The sequence below is a fragment of the Homo sapiens genome, chromosome 4 (assembly GCF_000001405.40).
Source record: "Homo sapiens chromosome 4, GRCh38.p14 Primary Assembly".
NCBI lineage: Eukaryota > Metazoa > Chordata > Mammalia > Primates > Hominidae > Homo > Homo sapiens.
In genome coordinates, this window is record NC_000004.12 from 138,900,755 (window position 1) to 138,921,381 (window position 20,627).

A 20,627-nucleotide genomic window follows, 5' to 3' on the forward strand; every position below is an offset into this window, starting at 1 on the left:
AGGCGGAGGTGGGTGGATCATGAAGTCAGGAGATTGAGACCATCCTGGCCAACATGGTGAAACCCCATCTCTTCTAAAAATACAAAAATTAGCTGGGTGTGATGGCATACACCTGTAGTCCCAGCTACTCAGGAGGCTGAGGCAGGAGAATCGCTTGAATCCGGGAGGTGGAGGCTGCAGTGAGCCGAGATTGCGCGACTGCACTACAGCCTGGTGACAGAGGAAGATACTGTCTTAAAAAAAAAAAAAAAAAAAAAAAAAGCATAGCCCAGAAGCAATCATATACAGCATTTGGAAAGCCAGGTTTCAAAGATTCACTGACTCCTGTTGTCAGAGTAAGACCCAAGAATGGGATTGGGACCTAGAGAGTCCAATCAATGGTTTTAAACTAAAGGTTCTTAAAATATAGAATGCAGAGCAACAACGTCAGCACCACCTAGGTAGTCACGTTACTCATTTCTGTGTCTAGTCAAGTCATTGGCAGGATGTCAGAAAAACTCTCTCAGCATTGCGATCCAAAAGTGCAGGGCTAGAGGTCACATTGCAATGTGAACGTGTCTTAGGTCTATAATCTACTGTTCAAACTACTTGAGTTAGCCTCAAGGGTCAGACTGTCAAATCATGCCAACACAAATCAGAGACCTTACTCAAACTCAAGCTTTAATAGTAACCTTAAGGATATAAGCAATCAAGATGCACAGCAAAGCAGGTAAAGGTGGGATGCTCTGTGTACCTGTTCAGGCCCTTCCTCCCCACATTAAACACATACTCTGGCCCAGAGGAATAATATATGGTGTCTCTAGATGAGGTTTTTGTATCACATCATACTTGGGGGAGTGTTCAGGTTATGAAAGTTGTAGAGTTAACATAATCCCCTTTGGGAATCATGCCTCATAAATGTATACAGTCTAGGTTTATTGATGTTAAGTAATCCTAAGCTAGGGCTATCCAACTGAGAACATGCCTTCTTTAAAGACTCTCCTAGGTCAGGCGTGGTGGCTCATGCCTGTAATCCCAGAACTTTGGGAGGCTGAGGTGGGCAGATCACCTGAGGTCAGGAGTTCAAGACCAGCCTGACAAACATGGAGAAACCCTGTCTCTACTAAAAATACAGAATTAGATGGGCATGGTGGCGCATGCCTGTAATCTTAGCTACTTGGGAGGCTGAGGCAGGAGAATCGCTTGAACTCAAGAGGCGGAGGTTGCGGTGAGCTGAGATCATGCCATTGCACTCCAGCCTGGGCAACAAGAGCAAAACTCCATCTCAAAAAAAAAAAAAAAAAAAAAAAAGACACTCCTATCCCAAATATCATTAGTCTACCAGAAGGTCCAGTTATCATCAGCATGTGTACAAGGAGATTAAACCAGGTCACCTGATTTCTTTTCTGGAAGCATTCCCCCAGGAATCAGGAAAGATGTGGGTCACAGGCTGGCTGCCTTATCTCTTTCCTCCCCACCAAGACACTTCTGAGACGGAAAAGAAAGATATTATTAACAATTATGCCAGCCAGGCGCGGTGGCTCACACCTGTAATCTCAGCACTTTAGAAGCCCGAGGTGGGCAAATCACTTGAGTTCAGGAGTTCGAGACCAGCCTGGGCAACATGGCAAAACCCCATCACTAAGAAAAACGCAAAAAAATTAGCCAGGTTTGGTGGCATACTCCTGTAGTTCCAGCTACTTGGGAGGCTGAAGTGGGAGAATCACCTGAGCCCAGGAGGTCAAGGCTGTGGTGAGCCATCATCACACCACTGCACTGCAGCCCAGTGATACAGTGAGACCCTGTCTCAAAAACAAACAAAAAATTATTCCAAGGCAGCAGTTGAAAATTGGGACTAGCCCAGATAAACTCAGATGTATTGCCATTGTCTTAGTTCATTAGGGCTGCTATAACAGAGTACCATAGACTGGGTGGCTTATAAACAACAGAAATTTGTTTCTCACAGTTCTGAAGGCTGGGAGGTCCGAGATAAAGTCCCCAGCAGATTTGGTGTCTGGTGAGGGCCCACTTCCTGGTTCAAAGACCAGCACCTTCCTCTGGGTCCTCACACGATGGAAGAATAAAGGCAGCTCTCGGGGATCTCCTTTAAAAGAGCCCTAATCCCATTCATGAGGACTCCACCCTCATGACCTAATCACTTCCCAAAGGCACCACATCCTAATACCATCACACCAGACATAAGGTTTCAACATATGAACATGGGAGGGGACACAAACATTCAGACCCTGGCAGTCACCCTATCTGTAGCACCCAGCACTGGAAGTTTGTGGGTAGCAGAGGAGAAATAAGGCTTGAAATGTAAGGAATCAGAAGGTAGTCTGTGAAAAATTATTTTCATCTTCAGACATCTAAAATTGTAACTGGAGGATTACAATTGTAACTGGAAAATTATTTTAATCTTCAGACATGTAAAATTGTAACTAGAGGATTCCCGTTGAAGCCTAGTCAAAACAAAAGTTTTCTGGCAGAAATATACTCAATAATGCATGACATGTAATTATAAATGCACTCGACATTTTTTTCTTTTTTGATAAGAATTGCACAAAACAGAATTTATCATAACTCCTTTATCATAGGCCAAACTTCTATAGTGGTACTAAATGAGTTTGTCTGTGTGTGACATCACATGATTTATGCACTCCAAGCTCTAATAAGGAAAAAAAAACTTTGATCAGTCATGCCAGAGGAAGAACTAAATTATCTTTCTATTCTCACTGTAAAAATTGATATTACAAATTCATTGTCATGTAAAGAGGCAATCAAAGCATAGACTGCCCCTAAGAAGAGTAGAAAAAATATATAAACGTATCCCAGAAAATACATTAATAAAAATATAACATTGCTTTCTGAATTTTACAACTTCTTTGATATTTCTCAGCTTTCTGAGCTTGTGACGTCTGTGATATTTCTCAGCTTTTTGAGTTGCCACCTGCTAAGGTAGGAAAAACAAAAGAAGCTGGGGAGTCGGACAGATTTGGTTTGAATCCTGGTCCTCCCATTTACTAATTATGTGACTTTGGAGAAGCCCCTCTACCTCTTGGTATCTTGGCTCCCTCATCTGTAAAATGGAGAGAATAAGCATAGCCTGCATCATAGGGACATTATGAAGGTTAAATAAGTGAGCACATTAATTGCTTAGAACATGGCCTGGTACAGAGTAGGGGCTCAATTAATGTTAATGATTAAGTGGGCAAGTGACCTGTCTTAACCTCTCTGAGCCTCCATTTCTACCCTTACAAAATGAGGAAAATGATACCCATCTTACAGAAATGCAAAGATTAGAGGTCGAGCCACTGGGATTTAGTGAGTATCAATAAACGAGAATGGCCAGGCACAGTGGCTCACACCTGTAATTCCAGCATTTTGGGAGGCCAAAGTGGGTGGATCGCTTGAAATCAGGAGTTTGAGACCAGTGTGGCCAACATGGTGAAACCCAGTCTTTACTAAAAATACAAAAATTAGCTGGGCATGGTGGTGTGCGTCTGTAATCCCAGCCTCCCTACTCAGGAGGCTGAGGTACAAGAATCGCTTGAACCTGGGAGGCAGAGGTTTCAGTAAGCCCAGATCACGCCACTACACTCCAGCCTGGGTGACAGAGCAGGATCTATCTCAAAAAAATTTTTTTTTTAAGTTTAAAAAAAAAAAACAAAACGAGAATGACTGATATTCAAATAACAGGCTCCAGTGAGCCAATGAGTCTCTCCTCTCAGCTTCCTCAGTGAAGGATCCTGCCCCACCTGGATGGTGTTCCTGAAATGTGTGACACCAGCCTCCTGCTCCCAGCCTCCCTTCCTGTGACCCATCACCCCCTCGCACTCCTGGTGGCTCCCTAAAAGTCTTTGGATATCATAGTTACTTTATTCACCTGGTGTTGAATAAAAGCACCTAACTAGCCTTAGGGCAACAGGATTTCTGCCTTTTTACATTTTATTTCTCTCATGGTTTTACTTTTTTCTCTCAATCTCTTTCAAGTTTGCAGTGTTTGGTTTATTACACTAGGTATGAGAAAAAAAAAAAAGATGAGTTGTTAATTGGAAAGCTTGGGATCTCCCCATGCCTAGAAATTAAACCGTACACTTGGGTCCCAAAAAGAAATGGTTATTGATTCCACTGTAACTGTCAGGGATGTTCTCTGACTTCCAACACGCCCTCCGTTCCCTTCCCCAGCAGCCAGAAAGCAGCATGTAAGTAATGCAGCCTGACTTACCTAATGGAATGGCTTGACGCCTTCATTTAGAAAGCAAAAGCACTAAACTAACACCCTGAAATGAGGTCATCTCAATGTTGTACTTGGAGGAAACTATGAAAAACTTGATTCTTTCACTGAGCTTCAACTTCTGGTGTCAGTTTAATCCATTCATTGATTTTTATTCATTTACAAACCATTAAGGCCCTGTGTGTTACTCTGATAGGCACTCCTCAGAAACAAGGCCAGAGAAGCTGAATTTTACTACCAAGTTTCTGAATTTAGAAGTTTGGTTGCTGAAAAGACACAGGATCCAAAATTAAAGAAAGTGTGGGGAGAGAGGGGAGGGAATGGCAGGGGTAGGACATCAGCTCTGTGTCCTGTCATCATCTCTCTATCTGCCTGAAAAGAATACTGCCAGCTCTGAACCACTCTAGGACTCTTGCCCAAGCAAAGGTTTTTTTGTTTTCAAATGAAACAGACCCTGATAGAACAAAACTTTCATGGGAGTAAAAATCACATTATTCCAGGTAATTCCAAGGCATCATCATATTGAACTATTTAATCTATACATCCAAATGAGAAAAGTTCATTGTTTCACCACTCTGCTCAGTCTGGCATATTTAAGGGTCAGTCCTGCTACCAAACCACAAAAACAGGCCCTGTGATATCCTCTAGTTCACAGGTCCCCAACCCTCGGGATGCAGACTGGCACTGGTCTGTGGCCAGTTAGGAACTGGGCCGCACAGCAGGAGGTGAGCAGCAGGCCAGCAAGCATTCCTGCCTGAGCTCCACCTCCTGTCATATCAGGGATGGCATTAGATTCTCACAGGACTGCAAATCCTGTTGGGAACTGTGCACTCAAGGGATCTAGGCTGTGGCTCCTCATGAGAATCTAATGCCTGATGATCTGAGGTGGAACAGTTTCATCCTGAAACCATTCTCTCCATGATCTGTAGAAAAATTTTCTTCCATGAAACGTGTCCCTGGTGCCAAGAAAGTTAGGAACCGCTGTTAGTTGTTCCTGGACTCTGAGCTGAGCCCCTGGCCTCACCTCTGAGTTTGCCTCTCAACTTATGCTATTTCTTCCTGATTGTTGACCTTGCTCTCAACTCACACCTGAGTCCTGGTGTTCAACACCCCCATCAGCACTAACATATTCAAGGAAAAGCACCCAAAAGCCTGGTGCAAAAATAATACTAGAGTTGAATATCATTTTTGTAAAAAATATAATTATAAATATGTGTGTGTGCATATATATATACACACAAGTATATTTATTATTTATATCTGTGTACGTATATATATATCACTCATATCTATGTGTGTGTGTGTGTGTGTGTATATATATATATATTTCCCTCTCAGGAAAATCCTCAGAAAATGGGCTTCTATGACTTATCTGGATCTGCACACCACATTCCAGGGTTTGAAGCAGGCTTGGGATTATCCTTGGGGTTGTGGGGTTGTATATATACAACCCTGAAACTGGGTTGTGTATGTGTGTGTGTGTGTGTGTATGTATGCATATATATACAGGATATGTATACTGTATAGTATATACTGTATGTATATAGTATATGTATATATATATACATACATATATATACATATAGTATATGAGTATATATATATATATATATATACACACACACACAGCTAGTATATATATACATAGCCAGTATATATATATATATATATATAATTATTCCAGGTAATTCCAACTATATATATATATATATACAGCCAGCCAGATATGCAGGCATAAGAGCCTAAATATTAACTGAATCATGTAGTTTAGGTAATTTGTGTGTATTTATTATTTATTTCTGTGTTTTTTTCAGAGTCTATTTCAGGCTGTCATCTCCAGGACACTGCCTAGGCTATCAAAGTGATGCAAACTCCTGAACAGACATGGACTCTATATGTTCCTGCCCAGGGTCTCCTAGAACTCTAGGACATCGAGGCTCTAAGACACTTCACAAAGCAGGTCTTTTGATTCCAACTGCAACCCCAAGAATGATCCCAAGCCTGCCTAAAACCCTGGCATATAGTCTGCAGATCCAAATAAGTCATAAACAGAAACCCATTTACTAAGGATTTTCCTGAGAGGGAAAACTGGTGTCCTTCCTAAATGAATATAGTGGAGTTGACCCATTGCCCATTGCTAGTGAGGGAAGTGTAGGACTGGCTTTAGAATCAAACAGACTCAGGTTAGACTGGGCTCTGCCACTCACCAGCTGTGTGACATTGGGTAAATTAATCTCTCTTGGCCTCCATTTCCTAACCCATAAAATAGGGAGAAGTCCATCTACTTCATCAGGTTGTCATGAAGATGAATAAGATGAGGTTGCAAAGTGTTCAGCGTGGTGCCTGGCTATGCAGCCGCTCGATCAATAGTACTGATCAATACTGAAGGCTACTGATATGATCTGGTCTTTGAGCTGTTTTACAGTGAAGCACAGCCTGAGCACTGATCATCCCCTTGCGAAGGTCAGCTTTCTTTGGTAGGGATTAAAGGGGAGGTGTTGACTACCTTCCTCCTGAGCTCTCTACTGGGAAATGCTCCCTGCTCTGGGCCAGGTCACCATTCACTCTATGGCCAGTCACTGCCGGGTGCTCCTGGTCACAGACTCTTCAAATAGGATGCCACTGCTTCTCCAGGGAAAAAGGCAGAAAGGGAAGTAGGCAGGGAGCATGTCCCTTTGCTGTGCTGCCTCTTCATTCTCTGCTTCACTTGGCATAAGGCTACAGGGGGATGTGTGTCACATTTCCCTAAAAGTCTGGGGTAGTTAAAGGGAGTTACTACACTGGAACAGACTCACAGCCATGTACTGAAGATGTTTCCCATAGCCTGAGAGAAAAGGACCCAGATAGGCAACTCACCTCAACGAGGGGCATATCCCACTTCCTAACTCTGTTCTCCTGTCCTGAGGTCTGCCCTTCTCTCAAAAACACGCCTTTTGGCTGGGTGTGGTGGCTTACGCCTGTAATCTCAGCACTTTGGGAGGCCGAGGCAGGAGGATCACTTGAGGTCAGGAGTTCGAGACCAGCCTTGCCAACATGGCCAAAACCCATCTCTACTAAAAAATACAAAATTAGCCGGGCATGGTGGCACACACCTGTAATCCCAGCTACTCAGGAGGCTGAAGCACAAAAATTGCTTGAACCACGGAGGCGGAAGTTGCAGTGAGCCCAGATTGCTCCACTGCACTCCAGCCTGGGCAACAGCGTGAGAATATGTCTTTAAAAAAAAAAACCACGCCTTTCCTTCTGTTCCAGCTGCTATCACAAAGAAAAAAGGAAAGAAAGAAAGAAAGAAAGAAGGAAGGAAGGAAGGAAAGAAAGAGGAAGGAAGGAAGGAAAGAAAAGAAAGAAAGAAAAAGAAAAGAAAGAAAAGAAAGGAAAGGAAGGAAAGCAAAGAAAGGAAAGAAGGGAAGGAAGGAAGGAAGGAAAACGCACCTTTCCTTTAACTTCTGCGGCACAGACAATGATATCAAGTCTTGTTTCATTTTCCTCTTCCCAAGCACATGAGAAGACTCCATCCTCGGCCTTCCATGCAGGCATTGTGAGGGCCATGCAATGGGGTTCTGGGCAATGGGATATGACTGGAAGTGATGTTTGCCACTTCCAGGCCTGGTCATAAATCCCCTGCAGGACAGCGTCCACTCCCTCTCTTTTCTGACCACAGTTCCTTGAAGGTGACATGTTCTAGGAGGCACTGCTACAAGATGGAGAGGTGCTGCCCACTCTACATCAGAGTTTGTATTGTGAGCAAGGAGGAAACCCTCACAGTGCTTCACCCCTGAGGTCCCAGGGCTATCTGTGACCACACCATAGCCTTAATTACCCAGACAAATATCACCTCAGACTAAGGGTCTTCATTAACCCTTCAAGAAACCCTGCCCTCAGGTGTTAGGCTTACTCCAAAATCTATATTCTTCCTTCTAGCTATACATTTTACTAAATCTGAATTATTCATCTTAAATAATGCCCCAAAGAGAACAGTGAGACTTTGGCATAATAATGAGTGGTGACTTCGGCACTTTAAGCTCTAGCAAGATAGAGAAAAACATTGGCATTCTATATCCAAACTCTCTATTTTTTTCTCACTTTTATGGATATGTTCACACATAAAGCTCCCACACATAATGCTACCCACAGGTAAATCACACACACACACACACACACACACACACACACACACACACACACCCAAAGAGCTAATAGTCTCAGACCAGGAGTCACAAACATGAACATCTGAAGCGGCCATACAGAAAATGCCAGTATTGAAACAGACTGTGCACAAAGCTATGGAAAACTTGCTGAGCCATGCCTTGTCTGAAGGAAGCAGCTCTTTCCCCGTGTCCCCAGCTGTTACCATGCAAGCTGCAGGTCAGTGTGGCCAGATCTTGCAATCCTTTTAAAAAAATTAATATCTAAGTATCTATAGAAACTCTCCAAAGTTTTACAATGTGGCAACTACGTACTTCAAATAAAAATTTTTTTAAAGCTTTACATGCCAAACACAACTGAGCTGCCTGGTAGGCGTGCCCATGTTATGTGGGCCTACCATTTTGCATCATCTTCCCCAACCGTGTATAATTTATTTAACTCCTGCCCTGTAGATTGCAAGACTGCCTCTCTCACAGGAAAGTGAATACGTAATTATGCAGGGTGGTCCTTTTTCTTCATCACCAATCCTCCCCTATCTGCAAATTCAAATTGCGCCCCCTTGGCCACCGGAAATAAGAATCCAACCCATTGATAAGTCATATACATCTTACGTTTTGACTGTGGCTCCCTTAGCTACACCCAGGCAACCTCCAGCTTCTGATTACCATATGCAAGGACTCCATTAAATTCTTAACCAGCACTGCCCTTGCTGCTGCCTCTCTGAGGCAAGGGAGCACCATTAATGATGATGGCCTCACACCTCTCTCTCTCATCCATACACTCCTGTGAGCAACAGCCTACAAGTGTGAAATAATAGTCAGAAATTAGAACTGTATTTTTGTGCCTGCACAATTTTTCTGAGAACAAGGCTAGCTAGCTTTTAGAAGGATCAAACAGAATTTGAAAATCACCCTACTTTATGTGCCAAGAGCTTTAAGAATATCAAACATTTCTTACCATTTGCAAGCAAATGGGTCAAAAGATTTTTTGGCGATTATCTCCTCCAGAAAAGAGCAGTTTGAAACCAGAGAAAATGGGTGTTACTAAGAAAAAAAAAAACTACTTTAAGAGAACAAGAAAGTCAGTGCCTGAGATATCTCAGAAACTGAGATGGAATAACTTTCTTCTACCACACATGTGAGCTCCAAAGCACAAGAGAGGCTGCATTTCAAGCAGAAAGCTCTTTTCAAAGCACAAATGTTGGAAAAATAGACCAAGACATCAGCGCATTCTAAACACAGCTGTGTTTGTCCACACCTACTCCTGCCAGGTTGTGTTTGATTTAACCTGGCAACCCAGGGTTGAAAGGCTGCCGCATCCAATTATTCAGTCTCCGAGGCTCCTCTTCTCCCAGCATTATTATTGTTGATGTTTGATAGAGTAAATTGACCTATTATTAAATGTTGCAGCCAACAGAGAGGTTTTAATAACCTTTTGGAGTTTTGTATTAAATGTGTTTTTAGAGGGCTGTAATTTGTATTCATCCCAAAAAAAAAAAAAATAGCCACTATTCTGGGTGCCGTGGGCTGCACCTGCCGGGGTGAGTCTTACCACCACTCTGCTGCAGTCTGGGTTTAATGCATGAGTCACAGCTGTCTCTGGGATAATGTATTTATTAGCACTGGGGGGAAAAAAGAAAGGAAAACAGGTTGTAAGATTTGCCAATCAGTTGGGCTCTGCAAGTTGGAGAGTTCAGCAGGCTTTTTTGAGTGTTCTGGGTCACCTAGGAGTGAAGAACCTACAGAAGCTGTCAGGAAAGTATAAAGCCCCAGGTTGTCATCAGGATAATGAGCCGGCGCCCTAGCTGGACTGGTTATCTCAGGCCTGCATCACAGGCAGAGGAAGTTTACAAAAGAGAGCTTAAGGTGCAGTGTCAGCGTGTCCCTAGTTAGGGCCTAAGGGTACAACCGACTGAGCATCAGCATCCGATAGATAACAACAAAAGCCATTATCTCTCTCCCGGCTGGGCTGCCAAGTGGCGGGGCCAGGATTGCCTGGTGTTTGCAGTTTCCATAGCAGCACTGTTTTGTTCTAGCTGGCAAAGTACACGGAGAGGACGGATAAACATTGCAGGAAATGACACGAACAACCCAAGTACTGAGCCTGGGATCTCATGGCAGGCTCTGCCCTTTGTGAGTCAGCGGCGGAGGTGAGGACGGACACATTTCAGGAGGTGGCTGGAAACTAACAGCGCCTTCAAGCACAGCACCTGGCTAAACTCAGCCATCCCTCCAAGGCTAGAGCTCTGGGTCTCTACTCCATTTCCCAGAGCATTGGAAACACATGCAGTGCATTCAGAACGCCGATAAAATGTGGAGAGAGCCCCTGCACAGGCCAAGTGAGGGGTGGGAGTGAGGTGCTGTTATTCTCAGCTGCCCAGAACTCACTGAAGCCCTGGCTCCTCTTCCACCTCAGTGCTGCACGGATACAGAAGGGTCTCTGACATGCTGGTCACTGATTTGGAACGTTATGCCCCATGCCTGTGTGTTTATACCTGCAGGGAGCCAACACCTCCACCCCTTGCACTGGAGACCGCTAGAGAGGGTTTGAAATGGGGGGTGATACATTGTTCAGATCCATTATTTGCTGGGCATACAGCTACTACTCCCTACTAAGACAAAAGAAGACCTGGTCCCAGCCTTATGTATTAATCACGTAGTATGTAATAGGTCTAATTCACTTTAATTTCAGTTTTCATCTATTGGATAGAAACTGAATTAGTTGTCTCAGAATAGGAAGCCGAGTTCTCAGCCAATAAGGAAGCCTAGCAATTTCTTGATATTACAATATCAAAGCACCTCAATGGTGTTTTCAGTGTTAAAGAAATAAATCCTCTAAAGATTCTTCATTATTTTTATGCCATCCTCTATCATCATCGTCTCAAGCTGATACATGGGAAAAATGGGAGGTAACATTAAGTTTTATGTTTGCCAAAACGTCACGAACTCATCCACTAGTCTAGATATTTCTTGTTCCCAACCCTGTGTAAACACAGAGGGTTTAATGCAAATACACTGGCCACCTCCACCCTCCCTGTTCTGGGATGTGGCTGCTATAATATTACTTCTCTTTTATGGATTAAGCTAAATGCACCCTGTGTAACCAAAGTCTTCACTGGCTGAATATCAGTGCCTTTGGACTTTCAGGTTAACGGGACTAAATGTCTTTCTTTTAGATAAGCCAAAAAATATTATGGTCTCAGCTAGACCTAAATGACAAAATTGAAAAGGGTAGGAGAATAAATCTACAATGGAAGGAGTTAAGGAAACTCACATCTTTAAACCTGCACAGTAAACAAAGGGCAAGTGTACTAAGAACCGGTCTTAGCTATGATTTTAAAACCAGATTTCACTGGTCTTTGTTTCTCTAGAATCATAGCCAGTTGCCGGGAACATTGTAAGTACTCATAATTATTTGTTGAATTAACGATCCTCTCAGGGCTCCAGCAGCAGAATGGAAAGAAGCATCTGTAGTGTGGTGGAAAGCACCGGAGACTCAGGCTGCTCAGCCTCTGGCCCACTCCTCCTGAGTCCTGGCAGGGAGCCCAGCCTCCAGGGGCCCTTGGTTTCATGGTCGCTGTCCTGCTGCTACCTGACCGTGCTGGAAACCAAGGTAGGTCAAGCCTTGAGGTGGAAACCAGGCAACAGTTTCTGCCCTTGTTTTCCAGGACTAGGTAAGAACTTACTCTTCCTAGTTATGGGTTAAAAGCAAGAACTCTAAAAACTTATCTCCCTGCAATCTCTCAGGAAATAAATATGTCACCATCCACATCATCTCATGTTCATGGCAGCCCTCTGTTTGACTTTACACAAAGCACTCCCAAGACTGAGCTGGTGGGAGAAAAAAAAAAAAAAAACACATCAAAACAAAGCAGAAAGCCCCTGACATCTAGGTCCTTGTACTTTGATATTAACCATCATTTAAAGAGTACTTAGTAACTGCCATGCACTGTGCTAAGCATGTTACTAACATCTGATTTTTTCTTCACTCCTGTAAATGGACAGAGTTCAGAGAGGTGACATAGCTCGCCCTGGGTCACACAGCTAGCAAGTGATGGAGCTGAAATTGGAATCCAGGTTTGACTGACTCCAAATTCCAGGCACACTCTTTACCATTACAGCAAGCTGTCCCCTCCAGCCTAAGGCAAGAGACAGCACAAGCGCTACATAAATGATAAAGGAGCCTACAGTGTTTCATCCACCACTTCCCAGACAGGCAAGAGGGAAACGCATTTGAAAGGTTCAGAATTTTTTAAAAATTTTTTGAATAGGTAAAACATTTACAGGTTTCAAAAAAATCAAACAGTCTGCAGAGGTTCAGAGTGAAACATCTTATTCCCATCCTGTCCTCCACCAGCTCTCTATACTCTTTATTGGATTTGTAAGGTATCCTTCAGAGTTCCTTTATGCAAATACACGCACATGTGAACATACATATTTTTCCTTCTTGTTTTTCACAAAAGGTAATGCACTCTACATACTGTTCGGCACCTTGGGCTTTTCTTTTTCCATTTGCCATTTAACCAAAGACTTGTCAGTCTTTCCATACCAATGCATAGAGACCTTCCTTTGTTTTTTTTTTCCTTTTTGAGACGAAGTCTCACTCTGTCACCCAGGCTGGAGTGCAGTGGTGCAATCTCGGCTCACGGAAACCTCCACCTCCCAGGTTCAAGCGATTATCCTGCCTCAGCTTCCCGAGTAGCTGGGACTACAGGCACCCGCCACCACGCCAGGCCATTTTTTTGTATTGCAAGAGTATAGTTTAGCATTCCACTGTAATTTATTTAAGCAGTTCCATATTAATGGATAATTGGATTGCTTCTAATCTTTTCCACTAAAAATAATGGTACAATGAATAACTTTGAACATATACCATTTTACATGTGTGCCAGTATATATCTGTATGGTAAAATTCTAAAAGTGGATTGCTAGATCAAAAGATATATGTGTTTGTGGCCAGGTGGGGTGGTTCACACCTGTAATCCCAGCACTTTCAGGGGCCAAGGAAGGCAAACTGTGTGAGCCCAAGAATTTGAGACCAGCCTGGGCAACATGGTGAGACCCTATCTCTACAAAAACAAAAAACTAGCCAGGAGTGGTGGCATGCACCTTTAGTCCCAGGTACTTGGGAGGCTGAGGCAGAAGGATTGCTTGAGCCCGAGAGGTTGAAGCTGCAGTGAGCCATGATCCTGCCAATGCACTCCAGCCTGGGTGACAAAGCAAGACCCCATCTCAAAATAAATAAATAAATAAATAATGATACGTGTGTTTGCAATTTAAATAGGTATTGCTAATACCTTTCTGTTTAGGGTCTCACAAAGATACAATCAAGGCTTCAGCTTAGGCCATTGGCAATACCTATTTAAATTGCAAACACATGTTTTTTTGTTTTTTGGGGTTTTTTTGTTTTGATGTTTTAGGGAGAGTATTTGAGAAGTTATGTGTAGTCATTGCTTTCAAAAGGCACATCATCTAATTAGGAAAGGCCTGCAATCCATGCATGAAATGTGGAAGGATCAAAATTGGAGGCAAACATCCTAACTTTGCTAAGGGATTGGCTAAAAATAGGAACAATACTAACTCACCAAAACCATTCATTATTTGTTCATCCATCAACATTCTTATTAAATTTTTATTTCAGAGGTAGAAAAACAAGGATGGGCTAGAGGCAATAAAGGTTGAGTGGACATTGATTTCTGTTTGGGGATCTATGTGGCTCTAGGGGAGCTGATTCTATCCCAGGGATAGAGCCCCAGAGATTTTCTACACCAACCAGCACTTTCCATCCCCCTGATCAAAACACTGGGCTCAGAGGTAAGCATTGTAGGCTAAGCAGGCCCATCAGTGTGATTCTCAGGGTTTTTCTTGGAACTTTAGGATAAAAGTATTTTCTCTTCCTTTGGAAAGAGAAATATTATGAAATAAAATCATTTTTGCTACCATGAGGAGAGTGAGAGAAAAATAAAACTTTTTAAATTAAAGAAACCCCTAGCTAGCATCCTGATGATTTTGTGTACCTTTGGATCAACCTCACATGAAGCCCAGTTTACCGATAAACAATGCGGTGACATGAGCCAGTAATATTCGTTTATCGCTCAAGAGAATTTCTGTGACTCGATATGGGCCAGGCACAATGGCTCATGCCTATAATCCCAGCACTTTGGATTTTTTTTAGGTTGGTTTTTTTTTGGCGGGGGAGGGGTGTTGGTATTTTTAGTAGAGATGGGGTTTCACCATGTTGCCCAGGCTGGTTTCAAATTCCTGAGCTCAGGCAATCCACCCACCTCGGCCTCCCAAAGTGCCAGGATTACAGTGAGCCACATCGCCCAGCCAATCCCAGCACTTTGGGAGGCAGAGGCAGGTGGATCGCTTGAACTTAGAAGTTCAAGACCAGCCTGGGCAATAGAGGGAAACTCTATCTCTACCAAAAAAATACAAAAAAAAAAAAAAATTAGCCAGATGTGGTGGTGCACTCCTGTAGTCCCAATTACTTGGTAGGCCAAAATTGGAGGATTGCTTGAGCCTGGGAAGTGGAGGCTTTAGTAAGCCAAGATCACACTATTGCACTCCAGCCTGGGTGACAGAGCAAGACCCTGTTTCAAAAATAAAAATAAAAAAGAATTGATCTGTTGATATGGAAGTTTTCATGAGGTTGTCAGTGTTTGAACTGGACCTGCAGACATACAGGAATTGAATGATACTGTGAGCTGGTGAGAATATTCCAGGAAAGATGTAATCTCAGCAAAGGCAGGAACACCCTGCAGTGCTTTCCCTGCATTTTGTGGGATCTGCCTTCTGCCTGCCCTGCAGCAGCTGCATTCTTTATCTACCAAATAATCATTGTCTGATTTATAACCAGGCCCAGTCCTAAAGCTTGTTACCATTAACTATGTAAGTTCAATTTCATTGCAATTTGTTTTCTCTTTTTATCTAACTTTTGACTTTATCCTAAACAGAAGGCATGTCCTCTTCCAGATAGTCAGACAAATTTGCCTTTAAGACCTAAGCTGATATTAAGTAGGAAAGTTCATTCAGCTCACTTTGGAAGTAGTTTGGTTTTTGACAGGACAATAGGACAGAGATGGAAAAAAAAGGGGGATATGGTTTTTAGTGTTATCTATTGCTGTGTAACTATATCACTACAAACTTAGTAGCTTTAAAAAGAAAACATTTATTATCCCATAGTTTTTGTGGGTCAGGAGTCTGGGCATAGCTTAGCTGGTCTTCTGTTTAGGGTCTCACAAGGATACAATCGAGGGCCGGCTAAGGCTTCGCTCTCATCTGAGACTCAACTGAAGAAGGATCTGCTCTCAACTCTGATTGTTGGCAAATGCAGCTCTTTGTGGTTGTAGGACTGTGGGGGCTTTAGTATTTTGCTGAATATTGGCCAGAAGTAGCCCTCGGCTGCCACTGGCCATCTGCAGTTCCTTGCTGCAGGGGGTTCCCCAACATGGCCTCTTGCTTCTTCAAAGCTAGCAAGGGAGAAAAAGAGGCTCCCACAAGATGGGCGCTCTGGGTGACCCCATCCCTACAGCTCCAGGCAGCCACCATCCGGCCTGTTGAAACCAAGGTAATGGGTTCCCCACCCATAATTTGAAACCAAAGAGGCAGGCTTGATGATCTCCAAATCACCTTTAGTGTTATTATTCCCTCATCTAGAAGAAGAGCATGGTTTTGCAGCCAAATTGCTGTATGGTTCACTCCTGTAGGACCTAAGAAGTCCAGCAGCCTTTCTTCATTTCATCCTGTCTCCATCCCTTCAAACTGGCAGTGTTTTTGCTAGGCTGGCTAAATAGGTTGTGGTTCACCCCCACACTAGCCTCCATATCAAATGGCTAGTCAACCATATCCTTAGTGTTCTCTCCTGAGCACACTTCCTCATTTTTTGCGATATGGACAGGCTAAGGATTTCCCAAATTTTTAGGTTTTTGTTCCTTTTTGCTTAACAATTCTTTCTTCAACTCATTTCTCTCTTCTCATATTTTACTATAAGCACTTTAGAGGAATCAAGCCACTTTTTAATGCTTTGCTTAGAAGTCAATTAAATATCTAATTTCATCGCTTACAAGCTCTACCTTCCACAAAACACCGTAACACAAACACAATCCATCCAATTTCTTTATCACTTTATAGCCAGGACTGCCTTTCTTCCAGTTTCCACTAACATATTCCTCATTTCTATCTGAGACCTCACCAGAATGGCCTTAACCGTCCATAGTTCTACCAACATCCTGTTCATGATTATTCACGTATTCTCTAAGAAGATGGAAGCTTTCTCTAACAGCTCTCCTCTTTTCTTTCTAAGCTCTCACCAGAATTACTTTTAACAATTGAGATTCACAGCAATGTCAGCTTTTTCTAGCATAGACCTCATCAGGGGTGTCCAATCTTTTGGCTTTCCTGGGCCACATTGGAAGAAGAATTATCTTAGGCCACACATAAAATAAACTAACACTAACCATAGCTAATGAGCTAAAAAATAAAAATAAAAATAAATAAAAAATTTAAAAAGGCAAAAAAATCTCATATTGTTTTAAGAAAGTTTACACATTTGGGTTGGGCCACATTCAAAGCCATCCTGGGCCTCATGTGGCCCATGGGCTGTGGGTTGGACAAGCTTGGTCTACCTATTACCCAGTTTCAGAGCCACTTCCACATTTTTACATATTTGTTACAGCAGCATCCCCATTTCCCGGTACCAATTTCTTCGTTAGTCTGCTCAGGCTGCCATAACAAAATTCCACAGACTGGGTGGCTTTCACAACAGAAATCTTATTTTCTCACAGATCTGGAGGCTGGAAGTCCATGATCAACGTGCCAGAGGTTGGGTTTCTCCTGAGGCCTCTCTTCTTGGCTTGCAGATGGTCGCCATCTTGCTGTGTGCTCACTCAGAAAACTCTGCACCCACCTCCCTAGTATCTATTCTTCTTCTTATCAGAATACTAGTAGTATTGAAATAGGGCTCCCCCTTATGACTTCATTTAGACTTAATTACCTCCTAAAAGACCCTGTCTACAAAAACGGTTACTAGGGCTTCAGCCTATGAATTTTGAAGGGATGCAATTCAGTCTGTAACAATGACCCACCTTCACCAGATACAACATTTACATGACCACGAGCACAACGAACTCTTCTGCTGTGCCTGCTTCTTTCAACATATTCGTGCTCACCATCAGGACTGGTAGAAACTAGAGTTTGTTTACAGCCATATGGGAGACCGTGGGTTTTTTCCTGAGTGCGATCATGGGGCATGCATTTGTGTGTGTCTGTGTGTGGTACTCAGCTCCAAGGCCTTGTAACAGAGATGATGTATCCCCATCGAAGAAAAATGACAGTCAGAATAAGAAGACGAAGCCAGTTTGTCACTTAATGCAAAGGCTGATTGTGCGGCAACAACAGCCTCACACTGGGATTGATTACAAACAAGATGACACTTCCCTGTGGGCTGCCTCGCGTGTTATTATAAATAAATACCATTCGTTTTAGAATCTGCATTACTGCAGAGGATAGATTATACCTCAGCGCCCTAGGTATACAGTAAATATCCCAGGGAGTACAATGGCCCTTCTCAACCCACAATAGGAGCCTCGCCTCATGTGACACAGTATCATAAATAAAATCAGGCCGTAGCACAGAGCCATGAGAACAGAAGTGAAGACAGAGTTTGACTGATGTTAGGGATTCATCTCCATGAAGGGCATGCTTTAAAGTGTGGTGGGATTTTGTTCCAAGCGGCCCAGGGGCCCTCAGTAGCTGTAAGGCATTTTTGATTTATCCCTGGCAGTGAAGCCCAAGAGAACCGCTCGATACCTAAGAGTATTTCCTGAAAATCAGAGTTCGGTTTTCAAGATGAAAATAAATCTGTTAAATTTTTTTGAATATCTCCTTGCCTTTGTCCCGACTGTTCCAAATCTGTCATCCTACGATCTTCAAATAAATAAATTATTTTAACCAAGAAATATAGAGCGACTGTTTTCTATTTATTTCTTTATGCCTTGCTTCAGTGCAGGGTTGAATTTGATCTGCCTGTGAGAAATATATATTTTTCATTTCCGGGGCTATCCACTCGTTTTCTATCTTCCTCTCTCCGTCTTCTCGACGTCTTCCTATCTCTGCTATCTTTCCTTCATAAGCACGGATAGGCGCTGGGAAGGCTCAGCCAATCCCCTTTTCAGGTGTGACACGAGTGCCCTCTGCCGTCCAGAATGGCGAACAACTCAGCATCCAGGCAGGTTCAGACCAGACGAGGAGATGGGGAAAAAACCTACAGCCGTTCTCCCATCTCTGGGCAAACACTGGACGTATTGTTAAAATGAATAATTTATTAAACCACAATTGTTTATTGACTGCTCTTTCACTATCTGCTTTCCAGTTATTAAACACATTCGCGGGGTGCTTGGGTGTCAGCCCTTAGCCGACTTGAAGCTTCTTTCTGAGGCAATGATGTTCCCAGCCCCCTTGCTTCTCTCCACACGAGACATTTTCGATCTCTTTTGTCAGGTCAGGGTCAAACTACAGTTGTTCTGAGATGACTTTATCAATTCTCAGTTGATAGACTCTAAATGAAAAAATGCCTACCGCCGCCCCGTCGCTACTTAAGAAGGAGGGTTATTTGTGTAATGTTCTGTCAGTCCAGCAGGATCTGTGACAGACGCAAAGAGTCAAGTGAAATAAGGGAAAAGAAGTTTTTATGCCTCTTATTAGTCTCTCTTCCTTACATCAAGGAACTGATGACATCCATCCTAGGATGTCCTTCCAAACTGAAAGAGGCACGGGAAGAACCGTCCCTCACTCCTTTCGGAGTAAGCAAGACCCGCTTTAAGTATTCGTGCTAATTCTCCACCCTTCACCCTGAGGGGATTCAATGTCCACAGCAGAGCAGGTGGGAGGGGGCCCTTGCCAGGAAGAAAATTCTCTCACTCCAGATTTGAAGGAAGCATCAGTCTGTACCCAGAGTGCCCCCTGCTTTTAAAGGGCAAACATTTCCACCATCCAGAATTGCAAGAAAATGTGCAGTAACCCAAAAATAAATCAATAAGGCCCAAGGCAAAGGAAGAAACAGAGATTCCCAAAATTGAAAGTGAGATTTTATTCTAAAACCCAAAATTTTTAAAAATATTTGATTGATACTGATACTAGACATAAGCACAAGAAAGCTTTCACCATTCCCTCTCTCTCTCTCTATCTCCTAAAATAAGACAATCATTTCATTTCCAAATAACTCATTAGGGATTTGTGTTTAAATGCAGAGACCTATTGCCAGATGTTGCCAAAATAAAAAAGAAAAACCCTAACAGTAAATAAAATCAGAAATGTCATCAAATTATTCCTTTCCCCAAACTATATATGACTTTCAAGGAAAACTCACACTTTGATATTCTCTGTCACAATATTAATATTCACAGGCTTAGCATCCAGAAGACACAGGCGAGACACAGGCTAGGGGGTGGGGAGGAACCCTGCCAGCAAGGTTTGCCCAAACTCAAGCATTGAGAAAGCGTGTCTGTAAGATACAGTACATATTGATGACAACTGGCACTAAATTTGAAGTGAATCTGATTTTCTGACCTGAGTGACAGCTATGGTTTTGCCAGGCATGTGACTGAACATGGCACAACCTCACTAAGCTTTGGTTTCCATGTTTGTAAAATTAAACTGATGCTTCTTCCTTCATGAAATTAAATATGAGTTCTTCTGTGTCATGTACACAAAGTACTTAGCACAGTTAGAGGTAGAGTAAACATGCAATACATGTATGGGACCCTTAGCTTTCTATTTTCATTCCCTTCTTTCCATCCTAAGCACCATACTTCAAAACAGGGTCAGGCCAGGTGTGGTGGTTCATGCTTGTAATCCCAGCACTTTGGAAGGCCAAGGTGAGTGGATTGCTTGAGCCCAGGAGTTCAAGAACAGCCTGGGAAACATGGTGAAACCCCATCTCTATAAAAAAAAAAAAAATACAAAAATTAGCCAGGTGTGGTGGCTCACACCTATAGTCCCAGCTACTTGGGGAACTGAGGCAGGAGGATGGGTTGAACCCGGGGAAGTTGAGGCTGCAGTGAGCCAAGATTGAGCCACTACACTCCAGCCTGGGTAACAGAGTGAGTCCTTGTCTCAAAAAAAAAAAAAAAAAAAGGAAAGGGTCACCCCATTTTTATGCTTCCTAAATTCCATCTGCCTTTATTCAACAAATATTTATTGAACTCTTCTATGTTCTAGCTACTCAAATATGAAAAAGAGTCCTCACCCTCTAGGAAGAGGACATA

At 42.9% G+C, this 20,627-nt stretch overlaps 1 long non-coding RNA gene across 1 annotated transcript in view, besides 2 other annotated features; it reads right to left on the minus strand.

Annotated features, from left to right (window-relative positions):
- Positions 1-20,627, minus strand: part of LOC105377448 (uncharacterized) — a 192,690-nt gene that overhangs the window by 80,798 nt on the left and 91,265 nt on the right. The window lies entirely within an intron of this gene.
- Positions 10,005-10,586: an enhancer, noted in NCBI's record as "NANOG-H3K27ac-H3K4me1 hESC enhancer chr4:139831913-139832494 (GRCh37/hg19 assembly coordinates)". NCBI's record gives its function as "activates a minimal SCP1, AML or CMV promoter by ChIP-STARR-seq in primed H9 embryonic stem cells {active_cell/tissue: H9 hESC(primed)}" and the evidence as "EXISTENCE:reporter gene assay evidence [ECO:0000049][PMID:30033119]".
- Positions 18,544-18,603: an enhancer, noted in NCBI's record as "active region_21914". NCBI's record gives its function as "activates an Ori minimal core promoter by ATAC-STARR-seq in GM12878 lymphoblastoid cells {active_cell/tissue: GM12878}" and the evidence as "EXISTENCE:reporter gene assay evidence [ECO:0000049][PMID:35858748]".